Here is a 13,709-nt window from a genome sequence, read left to right as displayed (position 1 = left end):
CTCACTTACTAATATGCATTTAAAGCTCCCCCTTTCTCTTCGTGGTCTGCTAGCTCGTTTTTTTTTTTAGTGCTGAATAACACTGCATTGTTACACAGTTTATTTATCCATTCACCCACTGGAAGGCATTTTGGGTGCTTCCACGTTCTGGTAGTCATGAATACAGCTGCTGTAACGTCGGCATGTAGATGTTTGTGTGGACAGGTGTGTTGAACTCATTTGGGGAAATACCTACGAGTGCCATAGCCTTAAAATTTTTTTTTTTTTTTTGGAGTTAAAAAAGTAGACGAGATGAGAGCTTTTGTTTGCTTTTTGTTTGGTTTTGACCTTAAAGCTTGAGACTATTTCAGATGGTACACATAGGCGTTCTGACAGGGTCCTTATTTAATATATAATGAGACTTCTGTAAAGCTAAGATTCTGCATGTTTGGTCTGAAAGACCTTGGAAATTGGGTATGATAGTACGAGGGCTTTGGCATTTGACCACCAGGGTGTTGAAAATTCTGTGACTCTTCAACTGGTGGCTTTAGCACTCGGGTGGCAGTCTGCAGACCCAATTCATCACCAGCGCGGTGTTTTGTTTTTCATACTGGAAAGGAAGCCCTTCACAGGCTGTGAGGACAAGGCCCAGCCCCTCCCTCGTGTCCTGCACACATGTATCACCCACCCGGCCCCCAGATGAGGATGCTAGACCTGGGATAAGAGAAATCAGGGCTCCCCTGAGAAAGCAAGATGAATAAACTTTCCTCAGATCTTGGAATTTGGCAGGAGTTTGGCAGAGCGGACGCAGCGCGGGAGGCTTTGGTCCCCTCAAGCTCTCCTCTCTGGGCTCCAACTCCCAGAGGCAAAATAGCCAAAGAAGCATCCCACATGGCTGGGACCCCCCTCCCTCCAAAAGGCAGACGGCCCTCTTTGAAACACCCACACAGGATTACAGCAAAGAATGCCAAAAAGGGTACCTTTTTCTACCTCATCCCTTTCCAAACTGTGCTACTAGGAACGCTGAGGTAAGAAACACAGTGAGGCAAGTGAAGCCTCAGGTAGGAAACACAGTGAGGCAAGTGTATCTTGTTCTACAACAAATATCCAGTGTTCTAGAACCAGACTTTGAGAATCATGAGATCTGGGTGAAATCCTAAGCTTGAGAGGCAAGCATGGGGCAGGTTTGGGTTAAATTGGACAGGAGATGGAGGAGGTGATCTGTTGTGACAGGCAGAGGAGCAGCTGGCCGTTCTCTCAGGATACTGGGTTATTTAATTCCACTCTTCTGGGGGCATGATACCCATGAGTCCCGGAGGCAGACAAGGCCCTTGTGTGTCCTGAGGAGCCCGGGGCCTGTGTGTATCCACACCTGTATACACACACACACACTCACGGGTGTTCACTCCCTGGGCCAGGGGGCACACATTGCACATGCCCACATTAAGGATGGGGGTGGGGGTCATTCCAGGCCCTGACAGGTACCCTGGGCACTCAGACCAGAAGGTGTGTGGATTGGTAGAAAAGGAATCCTGATAGGGAGGCAGACTCCAGGAGGACAACTGAATCTTGTCTCCCTTTCAAAGCTCCCGTCCCCTGACACATACACAGAGGACTCCCTGGGGTGAGGGGTGGGGGGCCGGGAAGGGGCGGCAAGGGAAATCAAGCGCACCACAGCCCCCTTTCCTCCCAGGGGCCTGCTGTTCCACCCCACAGGCTGGTCCCACTGCTGGACACAGCCCACGCCTCTCCAAAGGACAGCGGGTGACCGTGGCAGGAGGCAGGTAATGGGAGCGGGGAGGGATGAGGACCAGCTGAGCGGGGCAGCAGGGGTATGACAGGGGAGTGCTGAGAACATGTCTCTCCAAGGACATAAAATTATTACACTAAAAAAACCACACAGCAAAGAACAAAACAGGTTTGTGTGATGGTTCGGCCTGAGCCACAAAGATGTGCCCTGGACATGTCCTATGTGAATCCCACTGCAAGGCTGGCGCCGGGTGCCCGGCAGCGGATGCCCTGCTCCACAGCTCCTCTAAGCTAACCTGGAGCACCGTGCTGCCTCCCGTGTTCAGGGAAAGCCCCACAGCCGCACCCCACCGTGGGCCAGCCACTGCGCAGAGGAACCTTGGCTAATAATAACCCAGCTCTGACGTCATGAGCCCAGGAAATCTGCAGCAACCTGTCTCCTAAGACAGCCGGGAAGTGATTCCAAGGAAAAGCAAGATGTTCCCCTTGTGACTCTTTGTCACCTGTCTGGCAGAGACGTGGGTGTAGCCCTAAGAATGGGTGCCGGGCATGCCCTCTCCGCCTGTGTCTGGGACCGTGACCCAAGACGGTGGGGCCCAGGTTTTTGGCCTTTCTGTGCAAACCCAATCCCTGGTATGCGCACAGAGGGAGGTTACTTCCTGCAGCCACAGCCCCAGCTCAGCAATCCCGTACCTTGCAAAAGAATTCACAGAGATCTGGTGGTGGGTGGTTGTTTTCCAGCAAAGGAGCGATTGCCTGAAACACAACAAACAAGCATCAGGAACCGTGGGGTAGATAGCCACGGAAAGACTTCGAACAATCTCCAGGCCATATTGTGAAGTGAAAAAAATAAATGCAGAGCAACACATCCTGCATCACATCATTCATATTAAAAGCAGAAAAAAAAAGAAAAGAAAAAATCCCCCAAAAATCCACAACCGTATCTGTCTGTGTGGGTTTGTCACCACCTGAAAACAAGGTGTTTCTAAAGAGGGCACTGGGATGGGATGAAATACTCTTTTCCTGATGAAAACATACTCATACTCATGAAATACTTGCAAAATTGGCTGGGCGCAGTGGCTCATGCCTGTAATCCCAGCACTTTGGGAGGCCAAGGCAGGTAGATCACTTGAGGTCAGGAGTTGGAGACCAGCCTGGCCAACATAGGGAAACTCCGTCTCTACCAAAAATACAAAAATTAACTGGGTGTGGTGGTGTGCGCCCCTGTAATCCCAGCTACTCGGGAGGCTGAGGCAGGAGAATCACTTGAACTTAGGAGGCGGAGTTGCAGTGAGCCGAGTTCCTGCCACTGCACTCTAGCCTGGGTGACAGAGTGAGACTCTGCCTTAAAAAAAAAAAAGAAAAAAGAAAAAAGAAATACTTGCAAAATGAGATTTTAAGTAAAATTAAAAGTTCTGTCACAGCTAGTATGGCTGGGGTCTGGGTCTGAACTCGATTCTGAACTTGAACCTAGATTCAGCTCATGTTCTTCACCACCATGGTGAGCGCCTTCCATAGTGAGCCGGACCACAGCTGGGGTTTGGACTCCTGGTCCATGACCAACAACGGTTACTACTGCCTGGCCAATGGAATGAATAAAACCAACTCAAGCTATGGTAGAAAAATTAGCGCATAAAAAACTACCAAGCATGTCCAAAGAAGACTAATTGCCAATAGGGCAAATAAGAGGATGTAACTGTTGGAATGAAAGGAGGCTCCAGAAGGCATCATAATAATGACAACAGCAATAGTAATAAAAGAATGCTGGAAGGGGAGGCTGTAAAATGCAGGGGTGAGGGTCAGACCCTCAGATCAAATTCTTTCCTGTTCTCAGGCATTCCTGCTGAGCCGGGAAGCTCAACCTGACCCAATTAAGGGTTCAGTTCAGCCACATTAGCTGGATAAATGCAGCCTGGATTTCTCAGATCAAAATTTCTTTCCCAGGCTTGTCCTGAATGCAAGCCCTTGTCCTCCATCCAGGGCTTCCAGGCACTCAGTGGGACCCACAGGTGTTGCTGGCAGGGAGAGGAAGGCAGTACCTCCTTCCAGCTCTCATGCTTGCTCCTGGTTCTGCAGCAGCCCGTCTTACCACTTTGCCTTTGCACATGTAAGTCCCCCTGCCTGAACTGCCTTCCCCAGCTTGCTCCGTTTACCTGACATTCTCCTATCTATCCTTTAAGATTCACCTTGGTCACCTCCTCCTGGAAGTCCTCCATCATCATCCTCCCAGGACCCTCCCTGACAGAGGTTAAGTACCTATCCTCTGCACCCCCTCTAACACCCAGAACAAACCTCAGCCCTTGGCCATGTTATTTTTGTATTATCTGTTGATCTGCCAGGTTCTCTCAGCACACATTCAGTCCTCAATGGCAGGCCTCAAGTCTTGTCCAGCTCTCTATCTGTGTCTGGCACATAGTCAGACTCACATGCTCAGCAAAGTTCGTTAAATGAATTGATGAATTAATACTATGCCAGAAAAAGGTGGTGGTGAGTGATTGGGGGTGCCCAGGTTGACTTGTCCTCCTGTTCTGGCAAGAGAAGGCAATGGACAGTCCGGGTGAAAGCATGGAGAAAACCTCTATACTGTTAGCGTTAGCAAACACCCACTGAGAGCCCACTACGTGCCAGACACTGGAGCTGACAGCAAAGGCAGAAGCTGCTGCCTTGACTCTCCACAATCAAAGGCCTGGGGCTCACCTCATTTTGTGCATACAGTACCCAGCTAGGCTTGCCAGGGCCGACTGAGTGGGTCCCCCAAGGCCCTGATTCGGCTAGAGGAGCGTGAGGGGCCTAGTGACTGATGCTGCTCTTGTTCTGTACCTTGCAGCCAGGAGACATCCCAGGCAGGTTAGTTCCAAGGTCCCCTCCTGGGCACAAAAGGCTCTGCCTCTTGCTTCTATTTCATCTCCCATCCGCCTGCTTCTCATTTCCTTATGCTTTATGCTCCAGCAATGCTGAAGCTTCCAGAACACACTACGTTGCTTTAAATCTTTGTGCTCTTGCACATTTTGTTTCTTCTCTCTGGGATGCTTTTATCCCGTTTTGCCACCTGGAAAACTCCTATTGATCCTTCAAAACCCAGCTCAGATAGCACTACCTCTAGGAAGCTTTCTGGCTCCTTTCCCAGGGGAGTTTATCACTCTACTTACTCTCTGCACTCAATGTCTCTATTTTTTGCGGTGATCACTTTTGTCTTCCTACAATAGATGATGAACTCCTTAGGGACTAGGTTATCTGTGAATTCAAATACATAGCATGGTGCTTACCATCTAGCAGGTGCAATTTCATTTCTTTCTTCTCTCAAGTGAGAGTTAGGTTTCGTAGCTAAAAGTCATTCAGGAAGATATTTTACCCCAAAAATGCTTACATCATGGTAGAGTCCCAGAAAATAGCATCTCACTTTATGTATCACAGGGAATTAAATCCAAGTTCTATTTGTGGATTAATTGGGAGACATGTCCTGGGGCAAGAAAGAGAACGTTTACCTTTCAGCTAATGGGGTGATGCCTCTGAATAAATTATACGGGCTCTGCCATCTCCTGCCTTCAACTCCCTAGGCAGAGACGCAGGAAGGAGGAGGCGATTATGATACATTTGCTACAAACCTCAAAGACAGACAATTACACTCCCGCTCCTATCAACTGGGGCTCTGAAATATGCAAAGGCAGAGGGAGGTGCGTCCGGCTTGCTAGAAAAGACAAAACGGAGCAAGGCCAGATGCTGGTGGATTACGCAGGCGCCAGAATTACCCCAAACCAGGAAAAGGGTTGTAGGCTCCAGGAGGCGGAGGTGGGTGGAGGGAGCGTGTTCGAGAGGAACTTACCACAATGATGTTTTCATGCTCCTGGGTGGTCAAGTTTGTGTTCTAAAGGATTGAATGGAGACAGCAGGAGGAAAACAAAACAAAAGAAAATTAAGAAAACGAGCATTTGGATTTCAAGATCCACAGTTTTGAAACATCTTCAGCGTCACAGACCAACTGTCACTGTCATTTTTTCTTAATTAAACAGATCAGAACACCCTCAGGGGCAAGGTCGGGAAGGGGGAGAAGGTATGGTTTTGGGGCAGGGAGAACTGAGTTCTTGTCCCTGTTTCGGGGCTTGAGTTATGTGACCTTGAGTGAGTCGAGTCTAGGGGAGACTCAGTTCCTGCTTCGGTCAACAGGGCTTCCAGTAACCTCAATAGGCTATTGGGAGAGGATCTGGCCCTCGTCAAAGTGAAACTGCTTAGAAGCCAGAAGGCAGGTTCATAATAAGTATGTAAAGAAACAGACCTTTCAAGAGTCCTAATCTGTGCCAGGCAGCCTTTTAGGAGTAACACGTATATGATTTCAGTGCTTCTCAAACTAAGTTCCCAAGGAACATGAAGTTCCGTGAGTGGGCCCGAGATGTTTTAGCTGAATTCAAATTCTAGCAACTGACTTGCAAAAACATAATTAGGTTGAATGGATTACATTTGCTGAAATTTTAGGGGTCCTGTTTCCTTCCCAATCTGGACTTTTCTTAAATAATTGGTAACTGTTACAGGTTGAACATCCCTTACTGAAAATGCTTGGGAACATGTGTTTTGGATTTCCATTTTTTTTTTTTAAATTTTGGAATATCTGCATTATACTTAACCAGTTGAGCAACCTAGTCTGAGAATGCAAAACCTGAAACTCTCCAATGAACGTTTCCTTTGAGTGTCATGTTGATGCTCAGAAAGTTTCGGACTTTTGGCCAGGCATGGTGGCTCCCATGCCTGTAATCCCAGCACTTTGGGAGGCTGAGGAGTGTGGATTGCTTGAGGCCAGGGGTTCAAGATCAGCCTGGCCAACATGGTGAAACCCCGTCTCTACAAAAAATACAAAAATTATCTGGGCATGGTACTCGCTACTCGGGAGGCTGAGGCAGGAGAAGCATTTGAATCCAAAAGGCGGAGGCTGCAGTGAGCTGAGATTGTGCCACCACACTCCAGCCTGGGCGACAGAGCGAGACTGTCTCTAAAAAAGAAAGTTTTGGACTTTGGAGCATTTCAGGTTTCACGATTAGAGATGCTCGACCTGTGCCGCCATCTGTGAGTACTTGAACAAGGAAAGAGACGGCTGTGCCATAAACAAGGAATCACAGGAAAACTCAGAAGTGCCCGCCCTTCTTTCTTGCTAGTTTCGTGGTGTGTTCTGCTTTGCTTGTCTGTTTTGGTGGACACACAGTGGTGCCAATTCGTATTTCCTAAAAGAGCCACATTGGCTGCTTGTAAAGAGACCTCTCATTTGAACAGTGTTGGCAAGATCGATTGTTCTGGTTCTAGACAGAGCCCCATGGCTCCCACCACCTGGACAGGCTTAAGGCATATGGGGGTATCTAATGTGTTTACAGAAGCCAAGGCAAAAGAAAAGCTTGCGAGCTATGAATTTGCTTTTGCCCAATAAGCTGGCTCCCGAGGGCTGCGGGAGGCCGTGAAGCCAGGTCAGCATCTGAATGAACAACATGAGTCTCTACCGGTCCCCATGAGACGTCCTGACCTAGGTGAGGTTGGACCCAAGATACCTAGAATGCAGGCATGTGAAAGGATGTTTTTTGGATCTGAACACGCTTTTTTTCTTTAGTGGATATGAGTGGAGTTTGAGCAGCCTGTTTATGGTAGATTATTAACTATCAGTCATTTTTCAGCTTCGGGGAGAAGCCTGGCCTTGGTCTCTCCTTATGACTGCTGAGCTCTCTATGCCTCAGGCACTGTGTAAGAGCTTTGTTTTGCTCATGCCACCAATTTCTTTTGATTATGACAGGTTCTCTACTATCCCATTGACTGATCAGCTGCCTAAGACTGACGGGATGCAGTGACTAGCAGGCGCAGGGTAATAGGGGCTGCAGTGAGGATATGAACCCGTCTGTCCTTACTCTAAAGTCTATATTTCCTGCCACTGAGCTACAGTGCTCCACCACCCATCCAAGAAGCAGTTCCTTATTTTGGGCTGCCAAGGGCAGCTCGACACATCCATCCCTCGCCGCCACCCACGCACCTTTCCAGGAAGGCTTTGGCGACCACGGACATCATTTCCTTTGTCCCAGTCACAGGACAGCCCATGCATTCTACAGGGAGCCTTCTCTCCCCCAGGGCCATTTTCCACCCCTGGTAGAGCATGTCCACCAATAGCCACTGCATTAGAGGGAACACCTGACTCTCGAGCTAAGCGGCCACTTTACACGCAACTCAACAAAGGCCTGGGAGGGTGGGGACAGCCAGCTTTGCTTTGCTGGTGGACGGACAGTTCTTTCTCGGAACTGTTTTGCGTCCTTAGCAGCTCCCTCCACGATGCCCCTCTGCCTGCTCCCTCCAGATCCTTCCACCTTCTGGTTGGTCTGGTGATGCCTGGAACCTCTCCAGAGGAGGCCTTGCAAACAACTTGGGCAAACAGAACAGAGAAACAACCCAGCCCCAAAACAGGGCACGGAGGTCGAAGGCAGATGTTTGTTTTTCCAGCTACTAGCTCCAGACCCCTGGCTGAAGGTGCTTACGGGGTTCAGACCACAGACATCTCCTATGACAATGAAAATGTGGCCATGTATCAAAGGCCCTTGCAAGTTAGGCACAGTGCCAAGCACTTTATGCATATGAGAGGATCGCATCTTCAATTCTGTGAAATAGGTACTCGTCTCAGACCCAATTTACAGAAAACAACTGGGCACAGAAAGGCCTAGCAACTTGTCCAAGGCCACCCAGCTACTGAGGGCAGGACAAGGTCCTTCCGACCCTACAACACGGTTTCTCACTCTTCATCTCCATAGTTACATACTTGCCAGAAAGTCTCTACCAACCCGGGTTTATCTCACATCTATGTGCAGGGGCATAAGCTTCATCACTGGGCAGACCCGGGCGAGGGTCCTGGCCCAACACTTAATCTGACTGGCCCTGTGTAAGCTACTTAACCTCTCAGCACCCCTGGTTACTCCTCTATACATTTTAATACTTACCTTGCAGGGTCCTTGGGAGAAACTGGGGAGGTCTAAGGGCCATCAAACTGACCACTGCAGAGCATGCATGAGTGGATGCCGGGTCAGGCAGCCTGGGCTGGAGTCCCAGCTCTGTCCCTAAATGTCAGCTCTCTTCAGTAAAGTAGGGTGAGTAATGCTGACTCCTTGCCTGACACAGTAGCTTCAAAGCACATGGAAACTTCTTCCATTTTCCTACTTTAAATATCTTTATTCCTCCATCCTAGCACTTAAGGGTCAGCTGCCTTTGAGATTTTTACTTTAAAGCCCAAGAAGCACCCTCAGCCAGGTGTCTGGTCCTAGGTGTGGTGGCTCATGCCTATAATCCCAGCACTTTGGGAGGCCAAGGTGGGAGGATCACTTGAGCCCAGGAGTTTGAGACCAACCTGGGCAACACAGTGAGACCCCATTGTTAATAATAATAATAATAATAATAAAGCCCAAGGAGGGATGTGAAGGCCAACAGTCATGCGGTCACCTGAAGCACATCTGAGAGGGGAAAAAAAATCTTGCCCGAGGCCGGCAATGGGGCACGTCTGCTGCCCTCAGCACTGCCCTGATTTAATAAGGGTGTGGTGGTGGTTGAGCCTGGTGGCGCTGAAGTGGTGGCCAAGTTGGTCTCAAAAGCGCTTGGCAACTCTAAGGTGGAACTTCTAGCTCCATTACAAACTTGCCACGTGAGTTGGGCAGGTCACTCAGTATCACTGGGCCTCAATTTCCTCATCTGTGAAGTGAAGACAGAAAGGCCCATCTTTCAGAGAGAATGTGAGTTTTAAAAGAGAGGCTGTCTCACTTTGGGAGGCCAAGGCAGATGGACCATTTGAAGTCAGGAGTTCAAGACCAGCCTGGCCAACACGGTGAAACCTTGTCTCTACTAAAAATACAAAAATTAGCTGGGCATGGTGGCGCACGCCTGTAATCTCAGCTACTTGGGAGGCTGTGGCAGGAGAACGGCTTGAACCCAGGAGGCGGAGGTTGCAGTGAGCCGTCACGCCACTGCACTCCAGATTGGGTGGCACCTGGCACCTGCCTGGCTTACTACAGGTGAGCAGGGACCCCTTCTCCAGATGAGAAGTCTGCACCTGGAGCTGGACATCCAGCACCCAGGCTCAGAATTCCAGCCACTCTGTGATTCATTTCCCAGCCTGGGTTTTTACTCCTCTTGGAACGATGCTGGTCTCCCAACTGAGGACAACACCTCTGACCTCTGTCCCTCTGCCTGAGACTGTCACTGCCACCTACTTTCTACCTCCCACCTCGCCTCCTCCTGGAGTGAGGGACCTTCTCTACTCCACAGACACGGAGGGCCGGTGCCAGGCCCCGTCCCACGGGCAGCGGCCAGTGTGGGCCTGCAGAGAAAGGGGAGGGCTCCAGGCAGCCAGGCACTTGCATGGGAGCTTGACGGGGGAGACTCAGGACCGGGGGTATCACTGTCAGGGGAGGGGGACAGAAGCATCAGTCTGGTGGCTGTGCACAGTTTAAATCAGGAGTCATCAACTCCAGTGTTCCCAGAGGGCCAGGTGAGCAAATAAACGAGAGCAGTATTAATATTTGTAAAGCGCCTAGAATAGCACCTGAAACAGAAAACAGAAAGAAGCACATTTCCGAAGCGCCTTCTGCCTAACCAACAGCGGGACAGACTCGCTGATGAGTTTCATTGTTCACTGCCTGTCTCCCCTGCCGGGACACAAGCTCCAGGGGGGTAGGGGGCTTGTCTTTGCTTGAATTCCCAGATGGTGCCTGGCACAAAGCACACATTCAATATGCGAGGAGGCCAGCAAAGCAGATGGCACAGGAGGCCCAGCCGACGGGTGGCATCAGGTAGCACCAGCTGCAAACCGCGGCTGGATTTTCTGATTGTTTTTAAAGAGAACCTGGAAATTCCCACTGTACTGTGAAATCTCCTGATTTTTAAAATGGTGTTTAAATTAAACAGAGCACATCTACAGGCTTTGTGGGGTGACGAGGGCAGAAAGCTGAATCCCCCTGGACCCCTGGAGCTCATGTGGGCCACTGCTAGGGGAAGACAGAGATGGGGATGGGACTACTGGCTCTCACTGCACGGGGCAACACCTCCTCTTCGGTGCCTACAATCCCCAGACAGCACAGCTGCAAGCAGCTGGGGCAAGCCTCCCTCTCCCAACTCCCACACACGGCTGGGTGGGCAACTGCTCACCTCCTTCGGCAGCAGGGCAACAACACAGCCCACACGGAGCTCTGCCTGCGCCTGCTGCTTGGCATGGAGCCGGTGATCGGTGGAGGGAAAGGCAAACAATGTAAAGGGGTCCAGGGGAGGGGTTTTACCTCTGAGAGCAGTTTCGAGACGATTTCCAGTGGGGCCTGGTTGATGGAGTCATCCTGCAGGGGGGATGTCAGGGCCATGTCCACCAGGGTCCGGATCTCTTTCAAGACAACTTCCCAGCGGCTTGGGTTACTCAGCACTTTCTTATATTTGTAAATCTTTTTCTGGTTGAAAGAGATAAAGAGACAGCAACATGTTACTCACGTAAGGAAGGCAGAAGATGGAAGACAATCAAAGAATCAGATGGGTTAGGGTGTAAAGGGCCCTGAGAAACTGACAACTTGGCCCAGTCCCCGTTTATAAGGAAACTGACACCCCGAGAGAGGAAGGGTCTCATCCAAAGTCACGGGGTGCATTTGCAGCCAGGCCTCCTGACACTAGACTCATTTCCCACACAGGCTCACTTCACCCTGATGATAATCCTTGATAGATTACCTTTTTCTTTTTTCCTGTTTTTTTGTTTTTGTTTTTGCTAAAAGGATGAAGAAACCGAGGTACACAAGAGGTTAGAAAATCTGCCCAGGGCTCTAGAGTTGGCAGAGCTGAGACAGAAACATGTGCTCGGGCTCTCAAGCCAGTGCCCTCACCACCATACTATACTGTCTCCACACAGTTTCCAATGACTTCAAAAAGAAAAGGGGGAGACTTCTCTTTTAGATCGTATCTTCTGCCAAACTCACTTCCCAAGGATTCAAGCGCAGTAAGAGTGGGAATGGTCAGTCCACAAAGGGGCTTTCTCTGAGTTGAAGGCACTGTTTCCGCCTATGTCAATCCCAAGAGGTCGCTTGAAGACAGGTAGTCAGCTAGGGAACATGACAGACAGGATTAAGGCCAGGAATTAGACTCCGGCCAGGTAGGGACTAAACCTGGAATGCTCCCCCGGGAAATCCAGCGCTGCCCTCCGCATCCACCTGGTGAGGAAGACAAGAGTGCTCTCACCTTTGCTTGGGCGCTGTGTCGAAGCCAGAGAGCGGTTGGGACAGGGGCTGCTGCCTCCCTGGATTTGAGGCAGAGTTAGTTCCGCCTCTCTGACATCATGGAAACGGAGGCCCTCGGAAGGCGGAGGTCTGGGCCAAGCACTCCCTCCACCCCCGCCCGGGCTCCCGCCTTTGCAGCTGCCTGCCCCATGCACCCGGCCTGCTTGAGAGACTTTCTAACTGGATGAACTCCTTCATTAAGTGCTCTGCTCCTTAGGGAGAGCCTAATTTTAGTGTTACCATGCCAGCAGCCAGCTGGGGTGACATGTCACAATCTCTGAGCCAAAGTCAGAAAGAGGAGGGGGGAGAGGAGGGTCCCTTGCTGAACTGCTAAGGCTCAAACAGAAACTTAGAAGCTGCCAGAGCCTCCCTGACCGCTGAGTTTCTGAGCTAGGAATTATCAAGTGGTCAAGGGACCCACCGCTATCAAGGAAGTATCTGAGGGACACATTCCATGCCAAGTGGAACGGTTACTTCTGTCGGTGAGGCACACTGGTGGGACGGGAGGTGGACCTGAGTCGGAAAGATCTGGTTCTTCCTAGAAAACTTTCACCTTCTGAGCCTTAGGGTCCTGTTCTGTAAGTCAGGATGGAAAATACCGGCACCTCTTTCAATCTGTAACCCTGACCCATCCTGGACCCATGTGGTCCACTCTATGGAGCCGCATTCAAAAGTCAAGTCCAGATAAATCAGCCAAGAGTCACAAAAAGGAACGCTGAGACTGAATCTGTCTCTTGAAAAACTGAAGGAGATGAAACGTAAAACCTAGGCCAATACGGCATCCCATCTTCCTCCTCTCCATTATTTTCCCGCACCCCATGATTTTCTGGGGCCTCTGATATACTCATTGCCACTGGTGTCGCCCCCATGAACTCACACCAAAGACGGTTTTCATTCCCCCCGCCCATCACCCCAAGTCTTTCCCGTCATCTCTCCCTTCTCCTCTCTCTGCTCCTTCTTTCTCCTTCTCTCTAGTTCTTTCATCTACCCACCTGCCCACCTTTCTTTCCTCCTTCCAGCACCTGGTCTTACTATTCTTTGCCCATTCACCCATTGCACATCAAGAATTAGAAAGAGATCAGCTCTTCTCATAGGCCCAGCAGAGCAGAGGAGGCCAGGGCAGCCCAGCATTCCCCAGGGAGCGGGAGGGGAAAGACCAGGAACATTCACTTGCCAGCCATTGGAGACCCTACGAGGACAGGAAGAAACGCGTGACAAGTTGTCGGGGGTGAGTGTACAGTGAAGAGTAAACATGCAGTTGATGTTGACGATGGTGACAGTGACTACTGGCTGAACTTCATTAACGATGAGACGCACCCAGTCCACTGAGGCGTCTCTGGAACCATAACCAGCCTCCTTCCTAGTTACTGTCAACCAAAGCCGCCCTGTCCTAGTGCTGTGAGCAGGACACGCTGCCTGAATAGCACGATGAAATATCTGTGCAAAACCCAACATGTCTGAAGCAAGAACCCTACCCGCTCCAGAGGATGAATGCTCCTTTGAGCCTCAGAGTCTGTGGTTTTAGTTTGTACCCAGAGAATTGTTTAATTTTTAAAAGACCATGAAATGATCTCACAAAATCCACCCTATATCAAGCCCCAAAGCAAACCACAGCGATCCACACCCGTGTCTTACATTTGCATGGAGTCTGGGCTCTAAGTGGACTCTTCTGATCAGCTGCACATTATTTACTTTTGAAAGATTAATGACTTCATTCTTTTGCGAAAGATG

General features: G+C 50.1%; 1 protein-coding gene across 11 annotated transcripts in view, besides 4 other annotated features; it reads right to left on the bottom strand.

The window, feature by feature from the left end:
• The window catches only part of CMIP (c-Maf inducing protein), a 266,955-nt gene that overhangs the window by 48,395 nt on the left and 204,851 nt on the right, over positions 1-13,709 (bottom strand). For 8 of the 11 annotated variants that reach the window (XM_047434717.1, NM_198390.3, XM_011523352.2 and 5 more), the window contains 3 exons: positions 11,004-11,165; positions 5,552-5,593; positions 2,422-2,484 (listed from right to left, as the gene is read on the bottom strand). In XM_047434717.1, coding sequence (XP_047290673.1) covers positions 2,422-2,484; positions 5,552-5,593; positions 11,004-11,165 — 267 coding nt within the window. Of the gene's footprint in view, positions 1-2,421; positions 2,485-5,551; positions 5,594-11,003; positions 11,166-11,681; positions 11,978-13,709 lie in introns of those variants that run through there. The other 3 variants (XM_047434720.1, XM_047434721.1, XM_005256182.1) reach the window with 3 other exon arrangements.
• Positions 843-1,740: an enhancer, noted in NCBI's record as "H3K27ac-H3K4me1 hESC enhancer chr16:81695233-81696130 (GRCh37/hg19 assembly coordinates)". NCBI's record gives its function as "activates a minimal SCP1, AML or CMV promoter by ChIP-STARR-seq in primed H9 embryonic stem cells {active_cell/tissue: H9 hESC(primed)}" and the evidence as "EXISTENCE:reporter gene assay evidence [ECO:0000049][PMID:30033119]".
• Positions 9,213-9,938: an enhancer, noted in NCBI's record as "H3K27ac-H3K4me1 hESC enhancer chr16:81687035-81687760 (GRCh37/hg19 assembly coordinates)". NCBI's record gives its function as "activates a minimal SCP1, AML or CMV promoter by ChIP-STARR-seq in naive H9 embryonic stem cells {active_cell/tissue: H9 hESC(naive)}" and the evidence as "EXISTENCE:reporter gene assay evidence [ECO:0000049][PMID:30033119]".
• Positions 9,939-10,663: an enhancer, noted in NCBI's record as "OCT4-NANOG-H3K27ac-H3K4me1 hESC enhancer chr16:81686310-81687034 (GRCh37/hg19 assembly coordinates)". NCBI's record gives its function as "activates a minimal SCP1, AML or CMV promoter by ChIP-STARR-seq in primed H9 embryonic stem cells {active_cell/tissue: H9 hESC(primed)}" and the evidence as "EXISTENCE:reporter gene assay evidence [ECO:0000049][PMID:30033119]".
• Positions 10,773-10,832: an enhancer, noted in NCBI's record as "active region_11196". NCBI's record gives its function as "activates an Ori minimal core promoter by ATAC-STARR-seq in GM12878 lymphoblastoid cells {active_cell/tissue: GM12878}" and the evidence as "EXISTENCE:reporter gene assay evidence [ECO:0000049][PMID:35858748]".

This window comes from Homo sapiens, chromosome 16, assembly GCF_000001405.40.
Source record: "Homo sapiens chromosome 16, GRCh38.p14 Primary Assembly".
NCBI classification, from domain to species: Eukaryota; Metazoa; Chordata; class Mammalia; order Primates; family Hominidae; genus Homo; species Homo sapiens.
This window is presented reverse-complemented; position numbering and strand designations above follow the sequence as displayed.